Source organism: Homo sapiens, chromosome 3 (genome assembly GCF_000001405.40).
Source record: "Homo sapiens chromosome 3, GRCh38.p14 Primary Assembly".
In the NCBI taxonomy this organism is placed as follows: Eukaryota; Metazoa; Chordata; class Mammalia; order Primates; family Hominidae; genus Homo; species Homo sapiens.
In genome coordinates, this window is record NC_000003.12 from 11,344,498 (window position 1) to 11,357,924 (window position 13,427).

Sequence of the window (13,427 nt, forward strand, 5' to 3'; positions counted from 1 at the left end):
ATAAACCCTATTTGTACGTGGTATCTTATTCTTCTCATATACTCTTGAATTCAATTAGTAATGTTTTGTTTTTAAATGTTACATTTTGGCCGGGCACGGTGGCTCACACCTGCAATCCCAGCAGTTTGGGAGGCCAAGGTGGGCGGATCGTTTGAGCTCAGGAGTTCGAGACCAGCCTGCACAACGTGGCGAAACTCCATCTCTACAAAAAAAATATAAAAATTAGCCAGGCTGTAGTGGCGCGTGCCTGTAGTTGCAGCTGCTCGGGAGCTGAGGTGGAAGGATTGCCTCAGACCAGGAGGTTGAGGCTGTAGTGAGCCAAGATCGTGCCACTGCTCTCCAGCCTGCGTGATAAAGCAAGACACTGTCTCAATCAACCGATCAATTAACCAATAAATTTTACATCTCACTTCATAAGTCAAATTGGTTTATAGTCATGTTATTCCTTGTTCTATCTTTGTATATTTTATAGCTACATTATGCTAGCTTTATAAAATAAACTTAAAACGTTCTGCCTTTTTCTAAGTTCCAGAACAATTTAAATAAATGAATTATCTGTTCTTTGATGGTTAGGTAAAATTCAGTTATAAATCCGTCTGGGCCTGATGCATTTAAGAATTTTGTTGGGCCGGGCACGGTGGCTCACGCCTGTAATCCCAGCACTTTGGGAGGCCGAGGCGGGCGGATCATGAGGTCAGGAGATCGAGACCATCCTGGAGAACACGGTTGAAACCCCGTCTCTACTAAAAATACAAAAAAAAATTAGCCGGGCATGGTGGCAGGCGCCTGTGGTCCCAGCTACTCGGGAGGCTGAGGCAGGAGAATGGCGTGAACCCAGGAGGTGGAGCTTGCAGTGAGCGGAGATAGCGCCACTGCACTCCAGCCTGGGTGACAGAGCAGGACTCTGTCTCAAAAATAAAATAAAAGAATTTTGTTGGTTGGGGTAGTAAGGGTGGTGGGAATCTTTGTAAACTTTTACAGATGTTTCTGTGTTGACTCACCTTTTTAGATTTTGTACTGCTTTTCTAGCTTTAAAAATTAATTGACATAAAATACATATGGTATTCTCTTTTAAATCTTCCTTTTATCTTTTAAAAAATCTTTTCATATTCCTAATGTTGTATATTTGTGTTTTCTCTTTTTTCCTCATATTAAGCCTTGCTAGAGAGGCTTGTCTATCAGTTTTTTTGGAGCATTACTTTATTTATTCTATAATTTTTGTTTCTGTCTCATTTTGCTTTCAGATTCGTAAATATCTACTTTTATCTTTATTAATTTTTTCCTCCTTCTGTGGAATTTATTTTACTGTCTTTTTCTAGGTTCTAGAATTTTTAGATGCTTAGATTTTCCTAACATTTTTCAAAATTTCAAAGTCAACATAAAGCCATTATAGAAAATATAAAAGTCATAAAGCAGGAAAGAAGACACTCATTTTCCTACCGCTTTTTCACTTGTCACATTTCAGTGTTTAATGTGTATTTTAACATTTTATTAGATATATAATAATGTCCTTTGCTCTTACCAATTAACATGTCATTAAAAATGATGCCTGTCTATGAGGCCTTTTTATTTTTTGGGACAGGTTCTGGCTTTGTTGCCCAGGCTGGACTGGACCTTGTGATGTTCCCACCTTGGCCTCCCGAGTAGTCAGGACTGCATGAGTTCACTGCAATGTCTGCTAAAGCTTTATGACTGTAGAATATGCCTTCTGATAGGATGAAACATAACTTACTGAACCCTTCTCCTAATGTTCAGCATTAACATTGTTTCCAGTTTTTTACAATTGTAAATTGTGCTGCAAAGAACATCTTTGTGACTGCATCTTGGTCAGTATGTCAGATTATTTCTTAGGATAAATTGCTGGAAATAGGTCATAGGATATGGGTATTCTTAAGATTCTAGAAACATACTGCCAAATTGCTTTCCAGGAAGATTAGACCACTTTAACATTCTCAATCAGTAGGATGATTTTCTCCCTACCACATCCTCACCAGCATTGAGTATTGTGATTTTCTTTAATCTTTGCAGATTAGCCATTTAAACTGTGTAGCATTCCAGGAAACCAAAAGTTAAGTGTGTGCAAATACACCTGCATGTGACTAACCTATGGCATGTTTGTAATGTATCTGGCTTTCTTCCCACTACCCAGCACGTTCCCAGAGTGCCTTCCTTGCTATCCACTCATCAGTTGCTTTAAGGAATGCAAAAATACTTCAGAAATAAACATTCCCAAAGCAAGCACAAGTGACTTTATTCTGCCTCCATGGTAGGTTGCTTAGATGATGAAAATAATTTACAAAACTGGGTGGGTAGACCAAAAGGTTACCAGTGGGCTTCAAAACAGTCAGTCTAACCTATGCTTATGAAAGGCAGATTCTGGCCTGTCGTTCTCGACACAGAAAACAAATCTTGGGTCCTTGTTGGCTGGATCTCTGAAACCTTCAATCTAATTGAGTCTCTCAGTTTCTAATGGAAAGATATTGAAATAAGAGAGAGCAGAATCTTAGCCTTGTAGCCAGTCATGGCAGGACATCTCTTAGGTCAGTATGCTTACTTATGATCTACTAAAATATACCCACTGTACCCTACCCCAAGAAGTAGGCAACTTCATTTGGTTGCACCTCTGGAGAGCTCATTCATTCCCACCATTAACCAGATGTATCTCTTAGGCAAATCACTTATCTTTCCTGGGCATCAGTTTCCATATCTGTAAAACAAAGTAATTGGACCAAGGATTTTAGAGATCCCATCTACCTTTAAAATCGTATGGTTTTATAAAACTGTTATAGGAGACATAATTGAAGTCTATAAAACCGTGAAAACTATTTCTAAGAATATAGACTTGTTCCCTAAATTCCAGATTATTAATAAGGCTTTGCCTCTTGAAGAAATGGTACAAAATGTTCTAAAATATCATACAGTGGGAAATAATTTGTGAGTCATTTTTTGGAGGAGTTCATTCAGGCTTTAAATGAGCTTCAAGAGTAGTTGTTATTTATACTTAATTATTCGTTAAGGGAAATCAAGGACATTTAGGGGCTATTGCTAATCTTTTTAAAACAACAACATAGACAATTCTTATGGGATTCACCTCCAAATCTTTGGTGACACTGTCAAAAATAATTATTAGTCTGTTCCACTTGACATTTTTTAGTCTTATTACAGGAAACCAGGCACTGAGTATATAATTATGTTGTTTTCTAAGGAAAGTCAACATTCTGTTTATCGTAACCTGAATTTGCACAATTCAGTTTCTGAAGTTTCTTGTGTTTTGAGGTTCCCAAGCTTCTCCAAACCAATATTCTTTTTGAGATTTCAAGAGACAGCACCCTGTGAAATGTTCATCAGAAACACACCATGATCTCCTGTTTCCACACAGGGTTGGGGCGTGAGACACATCACATTTGTGGACAATGCCAAGATCTCCTACTCCAATCCTGTGAGGCAGCCTCTCTATGAGTTTGAAGATTGCCTAGGGGGTGGTAAGCCCAAGGCTCTGGCAGCAGCGGACCGGCTCCAGAAAATATTCCCCGGTGTGGTATGTTGTTGCTTTTGCAGAGGTTTTCTGTTATATGTATAAATGTTTAAGTCTTGGGAAATGAGGCCTGTGGCATTGAAGAAAGAGAGTCAGATATCTGTCACTTTCTACCAGCCACTCGCTATGTGGCTGAACCTCTGTTTCCTCATCTCAGAGAGGGATAAAAAAACACAACCAGGTCAGGCATGGTGGCTCATACCTGCAATCCCAGTGTGTCTGGAGTTGGTTCCTTCAGTGCGTTCTTGGTCTTGCTGACTTCAAGAATGAAGCCGCGGACCTTCGCAGTGAGTGTTACAGCTCTTAAAGATGATGTGTCCAGAGTTTGTTCCTTCAGATGTGTCTGGAGTTTCTTCCTTCCAGTGGGTTCGTGGGGTTCCTTCCGGTGGGTTCTTGGTCTTGCTGACTTCAAGAATGAAGCTGCAGACCTTCGCAGTGAGTGTTACAGCTCTTAAAGATGATGTGTCTGGAGTTTGTTCCTTCAGATGTGTCTGGAGTTTGGTGGGTTCATAGTCTCGCTGACTTTAAGAATGAAGCCACGGACGTTCGCATGTTACAGCTCTTAAAGGTGGTGTGGACCCAAAGAGTGAGCAGCAGCAAGATTTATTGTGAAGAACAAAAGAACAAAGCTTCCACAGCGTGGAAGGGGACCCAAGTGGGTTGCTGCTGCTGGCTGGGGTGGCCAGTTTTTATTCCCTGATTTGTCCCCACCCACGTCCTACTGATTGGTCCATCTTACAGGGTGCTGATTGGTCAGTTTTACAGAGTGTTGATTGGTGCGTTTACAAACCTTTAGCTAGACACAGAGCGCTGACTGATGCCTTTTTACAGAGTTCTGACTGGTGCATTTACAATCCTTTAGCTAGACATAGAGCGCTGATTGGTATGTTTTTACAGAGTGCTGATTGGTGCGTTTACAATCCTCCAGCTAGACACAGTGCTGACTGGTGAGTTTTTACAGAGTGCTGATTGGTGTGTTTACAATCCTCTAGCTAGACACAGAGCGCTGATTGGTGTGTTTTTACAGAGTGCTGATTGGTGCGTTTACAGTCCTCTAGCTAGACACAGAGTGCTGATTGGTGTGTTTTTACAGAGTGCTGATTGGTGCATTTACAATCCTTTAGCTAGACACACAGCGCTGATTGGTGCGTTTCTACAGAGTGCTGACTGGTGCATTTACAATCCTCTAGCTAGACAGAAAAGTTCTCCCAAGTCCCCACTCAACCCAGGAAGTCCAGCTGGTTTCACCTCTCACTAGCACTTTGGGAGGCTAAGGCAGGAGGCTTACTTGAGCCCAGGAGTTTGGGACCAGCCTGGGAGACATAGTGAGACCCTATCTCTTTAAAATAAAATTAGCCAGGTGTGGTGGTGGTGTGCATCTGTAGTCCCAGCTACACTAGTGGCTGAAACAAAAGGATTGCTTGAGCCTAGGTGGTCAAGGCTGCAGATTTTGAGCTGTGATCATGCCATTTCACTCAAGCCTCGGTGACAAGGCAAAACACTGTCTATATAATAATAATAATAATAAATAATCCATCTCACATATTCTTGTGAAAACGAAAGGAATGTATGAATAAATGTTTTGTAAGTTGCACAGCATTATGAGTTTAAGTTGAGGAATTTAGGAGTGTATATATTTTTATATCCTGCCTGGTTCCAAAGAGGTTTACAGTGGCTCAGATCTAATGTGTTATTTTTCCTCCATCACCAGGATACTTGGTGGTTACTTAGTACAGGTTTATGAAATTAAATTGAATGCAAGTCTTCATGAAGAAGAAAGATTGGGCTGAAAGTTTAGCTTTTTGCTCTAGCTGCTTCTGGTTTTTGAGTTATATCATTAGAAATACCAGATAACAAGAGAAAAGTCATTCAGCTCCTTTCATTTAAAATCTTGACAGTTTTCTTTTTTTAAGGTCAACCAGCAAATGATATCCTGCCTCTTGAAAACTTAATCATTTTATCTGACAGGAGTTAGATTAGGTGTCTCCAGAGCATTTGCTTATACTTAAAGTGCCAGAAGAGGTTCTCAGTCCTAACAAAACAAACAAAAAAACCCACTTTCTCAAAGTTTCTCTCTTTAGTCACTTTGTATTAGATTCATCCATTTTAAAAATCTTTGCTTTAGAAGCATTGTTAATGTTTTTGTCCATTTCACTAGAGTCCCTGAGGAACATCATCTTGGGTTTAACAGTATTAATTGACCACCCACTGTGTAGCCAGCTATGTGCTAAATGCTGAAAAAAATAAGAATACGTTGCAACCCTGTCATTGAGGAGGCATATTAGTTAGATTTCTGCTGTGACAATATTGCATATCACACAATCCCAAAATCTCAGTGGCTTACAATTGCAAACATTTATTTCATGTTCATGGGTGTGCAGGTTGGCTGTGGTTCAGCTGTGTCACTAGGCTGAACTTACTCAATAAGCCACATAACTTCGAGTCAGGTTCCAGTCCATTGTATGTGTTATTTTCAAAATCTAGGCTAAAGGAGGAACAGTCATGTGGGTCCTACTCTTCCTATGGTGGAAGGTTTAAGCTTAAAAGGGTTGGTGATTATTATGCCTTAAAGTCTTAGCTCAACAGTGGTACAGTGCAATGTCTTCCATTTCTGTTACCAAAGCGAGTCACAGGACCAAGCCCAAAGTCAATGACATTAGTCAATGTACTCTTCCTGGTAGGAGGTCTTGCAAAGGTCATGTTGCAAAGAGTGAGGATATATAATATTACTAGAGGGAGGAGGTGCCTAATTGGGAAGAATAATCCAGTCTAGGCTGCGCACAGTGGCTGAAGCTTGGAAACCCAGTGCTTTGGGAGGCTGAAGTGGGAGGAGATCGCTTAAGGCCAGAAGTTCGAGACCAGCCTGGGCAACCTAGTTGAGACCCTAGCCCAAAAAAAAAAAAAAAAAAAAAAAAAGCAGTGATCCAATCTATCGTTGGAGAGTATTATGAACTCCCTTTAGGACCCAGACAGACCTGGCTTTGAACCTGAGCTCTGTCACTTATTAGATGCCTGAAATTTTTGTTTACTCAAATCCTAGTCATTGTCAGTGACCCAATACAATTCCCCCTTCCCACTGTTTATTTGTTTAGTTGCTCTATTACTTACTTGCGTGTCAGGTAGTGTATTTAAGACCTCCCGTGTTCCAGGGACAGGGGAACTAGACAGACATGTGGAGCTTAAAGTCTAGTGGGGGATGGTCATTAACAAATAATTTCACAAATACTTATCATTGTAATACATGCAGGAAGCAGGAGCTCAGTTGCCATGAGAATATATAACAGGTAGGCCTGACCTAGATGAGGGGTGGACTGGGAAGACTTGAGAAAACAAACCCCTGAAGGATGAGTGGGAGTTAGCTAGATTGAGGGTAGCAGAGCTGTCTGTGCAAATGCCTGAGGTAGGATGAGTGTGGTACTTTTGTGGAACTGAAAGAAAACCAGGGTGGCTGCAACATAGAGGTCAAAGAAGATGAGGAGGAAGAGAAGGCTGAGGTGGGAGCAAGGGACGCCATGCTGGGCCTGAGAGAGCAAGTCCAACTGTTCTTGGAAACAGCCCCCTGGCATCGAGCCTCTTCCTTCACACTTACATTGTGTTACTCTGTTTTCCCTGTTGGACTATTAAGTCCCCCAGGCCACGGTCCAAGTCTTTTATACTTTTATCCTTCATGCCTTATAAATAATAGGAGATAATATACACAACCCATCAAAGTACTGGTGTAATTCATCACGTTCATGAAAAATACTTGCGAAACTATTTAACTTATTGGTTAGCCAGCCTTAAGGGGCTTTCCTTATATGCTTGATTTAGTATAGTTTCTTTTTTTTTTTTTATTATACTTTAAGTTCTAGGGTACATGTGCACAACATGCAGGTTTGTTACATATGTATACATGTGCCATGTTGGTGTGCTGCACCCATCAACTCATCATTTACATTAGGTATATATCCTAATGCTATCCCTCCCCCCTCCCTCCACGCCACGACAGGCACTTGTGTGTGATGTTCCCCATCCTGTGTCCAAGTGTGCTCATTGTTCAATTCCCACATATGAGTGAGAACACGCGGTGTTTGGTTTTCTGTCTTTGTGATAATTTGCTCAGAATGATGATTTCCAGCTTCATCCATGTCCCTACAAAGGACATGAACTCATCCTTCTTTATGGTTGCATAGTATTCCATGGTGTATATGTGCCACATTTTCTTAATCCAGTCTATCATTGATGGACATTTGGGTTGGTTCCAAGTCTTTGCTATTGTGAATAGTGCCGCAATAAACATATGTGTGCATGTGTCTTTATAGCAGCATGATTTATAATTCTTTGGGTATATACCCAGTAATGGGATGGTTGGGTCAAATAGTATTTCTAGTTCTAGATCCTTGAGTAATCGCCACACTGTCTTGCACAATGGTTAAACTAGTTTACAGTCCCACCAACAGTGTAAAAGTGTTCCTATTTTTCCACATCCTCTCCAGCACCTGTTGTTTCCTGACTTTTTAATGATCACCATTCTAACTTGTGTTAGATGGTATCTCACTGGATTTAGTATAGTTTCTTCATTCAACAGATACTTATTCATCACCTTCCTTCTACCAGGCCACGGAGAAAAGGCTTGACCTAAGTAAACAAGACATGGTTCTGCCCTCATAGAGCTTATATTTTATTGAATTATAATTGAAATACTAAATGCTAAAAGGGATAAGTAGACATTGCTCAGGAAATATAGAAGAGCAGGACCTGGACAAGTGTGGGGCATGTGCCAGGGAAAGCCTTCTTAAGGAAGTAACATTTGGTCCAAGCTCTGAAGGAATTGATCAGAAGAGGTCTTGAGGAGGGAGGCAAGGACCAGAGAGTGGTGGGAAAGGCCAGTGGCCAGGAGGAGCATTCCAGGGAAGAAAATTGGCCTTTTGAAGGTAAGAACTGTGTTAAATGCAGACTTCCTAGATATTTGGTTACCTGGAAAAGTTAGAAAGATTGGTTTTATTAATGCAAGATTATCTAATTTGGGGTATTCCTTACTTGTTAAGTTATTGCAAGATTCTAATCTCAGTGCTTGAAGTCGAGTGACATTTGACTTGGAAAAGAAAAAAATAATGGGTGATAGCCCCTTTAAAAATGTTTAAATTTTGGGCCGGGCACAGTGGCTGATGCCTATAATCCCAGCACTTTGGGAGGCTGAGGCGGGTGGATCACGAGGTCAAGAGATCGAGACCATCCTGGCCAACATGGTGAAACCCTGTCTCTACTACTAAAAATACAAAAATTAGCTGAGTGTGGTGGCGTGCACCTGTAGTCCCAGCTACTCAGGAGGCTGAGGCAGGAGAATCATTTGAACTGAGAGGCGGAGGTTGCAGTAAGCTGAGATTGCACCACTGCACTCCAGCCTGGCGACAGAGTGAGACTCTGTCTCAAAAAAGAAAAAAGAAAAAGTTTAAATTTTGAAATAGTAAATTCATAGGAAATGATTTGATTTGGATGTTTGTCCTCTCCAAATCTCATGTTGAATTGTGATCCTCACTGTTGGAGGTGGGGCCTGGTGGGAGGTGTTTGGGTCATGGAGGTGGATCCCTCATGAATGGCTTGGTGCCCTCTCCACATTAATGAGTGAGTTCTCGACCTCTTAGTTCACGTGAGCGAGAGCTAGTTGTTTGAAAGAGCCTGGCATCTCTCTTTTTCCCTCCCTTGCCATGTGATGCATCTGATCCCCCTTCACCTTTCACCATGAGTGGAAGCTTCCCTCATCAGAAGCAGATGCCAGCACTGTACTTCTCATACAACCTGGAGAACCATAAGCCAAATAAACCTCTTTTCATTTAATTGCTTCAAATATTCCTTTATAGCAGTGTGAAATGGACTAACACAGGAAATACAAAGAAGTGTACCAGGAGGTCATGAGCACCCTTTACCCTGCTTCTTCTGGGTGACAGACTTCAAGGACAGGGTGGTTTCACTGGGTAGCTGGCCTGAAAAGCCTTAAACACTCCCTCAGAACTAGAGAGTTTGACATTTGTTTTTTGCTCTAAAATATATGTATCCCAGACTAACCGTATTCTGGCCCCAGACCTTCCAGTATGTCAAATGTCAGCTCATAAGAAACCCTTGCATTTTATCTGCATGGTATTCTTTCACTAATTCCTTCTCTTCTACTCCAGGACATAGGTGTCATATTGACCCTTTCCAGGTGCCTTTAAAAAAGCTATGATAAAATTACATGAAAAGAAGCGCTCTGCTACAGATACCACACCTGATCCTGGGGAAGAGTAAATTGAATAAGAAAACAACTGATCTTTTATAAATCATATAGCTATTTGAGGCAATAAGATGTCAGATTATGAGGCCGGGCGCAATTGCTCACGCCTGTAATCCCAGTGCTTTGGGAGGCTGAGGCGGGTGGATCACGAAGTCAAGAGATTGAGATCCATCCTGGCCAACATGGTGAAACCCCGTCTCTACTAAAAATACAAAAATTAGCTGGGCGTGGTGGCGCACACCTGTACTCTCAGCTACTTGGGAGGCTGAGGCAGGAGAATCGCTTGAACCCGGAAGTCAGAGGTTGCAGTGAGCCGAGATCACGCCACTGCACTCCAGTCTGGTCACAGAGTGAGACTCCATCTCACCAAAAAAAAAAAAAAAAAAAAAAAAAGATGTTGGATTATGGAGCCACACTTGAGGTTTTAAAACCCAAATCTGGACATCTGCTTCAACCCTAATGAGTAGTGGATACTGGACTAGCTCTGCCACCATAAACAATTACACGCTGGGACAAAATACGTAAAATTACTCTTTTCAGACAGTGAACAGTAGGTAGTGAAAGACTATGGTCATAGGTAGTGAAAGACTGTGGTCCCAGACAGAGGGAAGGAAAGATTTGTCCCAGCTTATAACATGAAGGCACTTTCTGGCCCATGCCATAGCCCGTGAGAGCCCAGGGAGATTCTCTTGGTCTCAGTGAGCTGAGGAAACAACCAGAATTCAGAGCAGCTGAGGTGGCTGGAATTTGCAGGACGTAGTACCAGAAATGAGGGAGCTGTGCACAGGAGTGCCTCGGTAGCACCTTGAGTCTTTGACTGAATAGCGAGCTGTGTGTACTCACAGCACGACTCTCGTCAGACCAGGCAAAAACACACTACCAGAGAGCTATGAGCAGAATGGAGATTCCAGAGTTCACACGAGCTGGGAGACACTGGAGTTCTGTATACGGAGTGGAGAGACCTCATTGAATACTCTGAGCCCTTATGTGATACCCAGAATGGCCCCTATAAAGTTTCGAGGGGAAAGCATCTTAGTGGTCTTGTGATAAAGATTTCTTAGGACCTAGTAAATACTATGAACAAAAAATGGTAACTTAGTTGACTTTATAAAAATTTAAAACTTCTGCTTCTCAAAAGATGCCTTTCAAAGAAGGGAAAAACTAGCCAAACTGAGAAGACATGTGCAGTCCTCTTATCCAGAACACGCAAGATGAACAACTCCTACCACTCAAGACACACAAAGCAACTTGTTTTTAAGGGGGAAAAAAGCTTGAACAGGTACTTAATTTATGGTGAAGATCTATGAATGGCCATTGAACACGTGAAAATGCTCAACGTCAATAGTCATCAGGGAAATACAAGTTAAAACCAGAGAGATATATCACTATACACCTACTAAAATGGCTAAGATTAAGAAGCCTGACAATGCTAAATGTTGTCAGGGTGTGGAGCAACCAAAACACTTATACATTGCTGGTAAAATAACTACTTTGGAAATCTGGCTGTTTCTCATGAAATTTAACATATGCCTACCTTGTGACCCAGAAATTGTACCTTTAGATCTTTACCTAAGAGAAATGAAAACATATATACATGAAAATACTTATACAAAAGTGTCCATAGCACCTTTATTCAAAACAGCCCAAATCACCATCAACAAGAGAATCGATAAATTGTAGTATAATTATACCACGAATGGAATGTATTATTGATACTTAACAATATAATGAACCTCAAAAGCAGTATGCTAAGCAAAAGAAGCCAAACACAAACAAGTATATACCCTAGCATATCATTTATGTGATATGTTCTAGAATAGTCTAATCTATGGCTTATGAAGTCAGATCAGTTGTCATCTGGGGGCAAGTGGGGACCGACTGAGGGGGAGCACAAGACCATGTTCTGGCGTCATGAAAATGTTCTATATCTTGATAGCTGTATGCAGTGGTTAATCTATCATTTGTCAGAATACATTGAACTGTGCATATGAGATCTGTGTATTTCACTTTATGTAAATTATACCTCAACTTGGCTACACCTTTGAATCATCAGGGGAGTTTTAGAAAATATTGGTGCCTGGGCTCATTCTTAGAGATTTCCATTTAAATGGTCTGGGGAAAAGCCTGGCCATTAAACTCTCTAGGTGGTTCTGATATACAGCCAAGTAGAAAACCACTGTGTTGAAAGTTGCTGAATTCCAGCCTCTTGGGTGTGGACATAACTGATGGGCTCTAACGTTAGCTTACTGGCTGAAATTTTAGCAAGTAGAGATTTATTTAGGTTAGCAAAGTTATTTTATTATTCAAAAGTTCAGAATTGGTATTGCATGATTATACTTCCATCTTGGTGTCATGAAAATATATACTTAATAGTTATTTGGATCAAGCTACCACCATTTAACATGCTTTGTCAATTGTAGTATGTCAGTAAGGTATTGCAGGTATTATTATTACTGTAGTTGTTGCTTTTATTATTGCTTATTACGGCATTTGGTACATAGTAGGTGCACAATACTTAATGGATTAATTAATGAGATCCTGATAGCTGTGCTAGTCTCATTATTAAAATAGATGTGTGCTGTGCTAGTCTCATTATTAAAATAGATGTGTTTTTGCACCTTTCTTCTTCCTGAAATCCTTTCTGCCTCAGGTCCTTTCCTGCTTTGCTTGCCACTCTTTTTTACATTCCTTTTGAAATTGTTGTTCTTCCTTTCTTGAATTCCAGAGATTAGGTTTAAAGTTGAAGATAATAAAAAAAATCCACAATCTACAAATTTGATATTTCTTTGTAAAAAGATCTGCTTGCTGTGTCCCTTGAGCTATTTTTCCAGTAGGTGAGGGGTTTTGGCAAATGAGTGAAAAAGCTGATGTTTTCAAACACTTCCCTATGGCCAGTGATATACAGGGGTTAAAGGTACAGTTTATGATTCTAGAACACATTTTTTGTGGAAAGTCAGTGTCCCTGGCTTCATTAGCACCCATATGTGACTCACTGTTAATGTGCCAAAATATTATGTGGTCATCAAGGGGCAGATGGTAAATTATAAAGCTGTTCTAAAGCCCATATAAAAAATCCCAATTCAGGGGAACTCAGGTTGATGGACAGCTTCTACTTTTGGACAGAGAGTGAAGCCTTACTCTGTCCCACACTCTGACATCACCCACCATAACTCCTGCCCCGATAAAAATATCTACATACTCCTAAGTAGATTTTTTGGCTCTAAGTTAGCAAGTAGAGTTTTTTGTATTTGAGGTTTTTTAAAATGCATATACCCCTGAAAGGATTAAGACAAGATCATCAGTCATTGTAACCTTATGTGAATGTATTAAATCAAATTATATTTGCTAGAACACTCCATATGGAGATGTTTAACACTGAGGAAACAGAAGGGAGGGCAATTTGGAAGCAAATAGGAAGAGATAGCCCAGTTGGAAAGAGGTACTTTGGCAGGGTACGGTGGCTCATGCCTGTAATTCCAGCACTTTGGAGGCCGAATCAGGAGGATTCCTTGAGCCAAGGAGTTCGAGAGCAGCCTGGGCAACATAGTGAGACCTATCTCTACTAAAAATTAAAAAATCAGCCAGGTGTGGTGACGTGTGCCTGTAGTCCCAGCTACTTGGGAAGCTGAGGTGGGAGGATCC

General features: G+C 40.8%; 1 protein-coding gene across 38 annotated transcripts in view; it reads left to right on the forward strand.

The window, feature by feature from the left end:
* Nucleotides 1–13,427, forward strand: part of ATG7 (autophagy related 7) — a 303,957-nt gene that overhangs the window by 72,101 nt on the left and 218,429 nt on the right. For 31 of the 38 annotated variants that reach the window (XR_007095622.1, XR_007095623.1, NM_001349238.2 and 28 more), the window contains one exon: nucleotides 3,380–3,538. The exons of the other annotated variants lie outside the window; for them this stretch is intronic. Coding sequence is in view for 29 of the 31 variants with exons in the window: in NM_001349238.2 (NP_001336167.1) it covers nucleotides 3,380–3,538 (159 nt within the window). In the remaining 2 variants the exon portion in view is untranslated. The remainder of the gene's footprint in view (nucleotides 1–3,379; nucleotides 3,539–13,427) is intronic. 38 annotated transcript variants of the gene reach the window in all.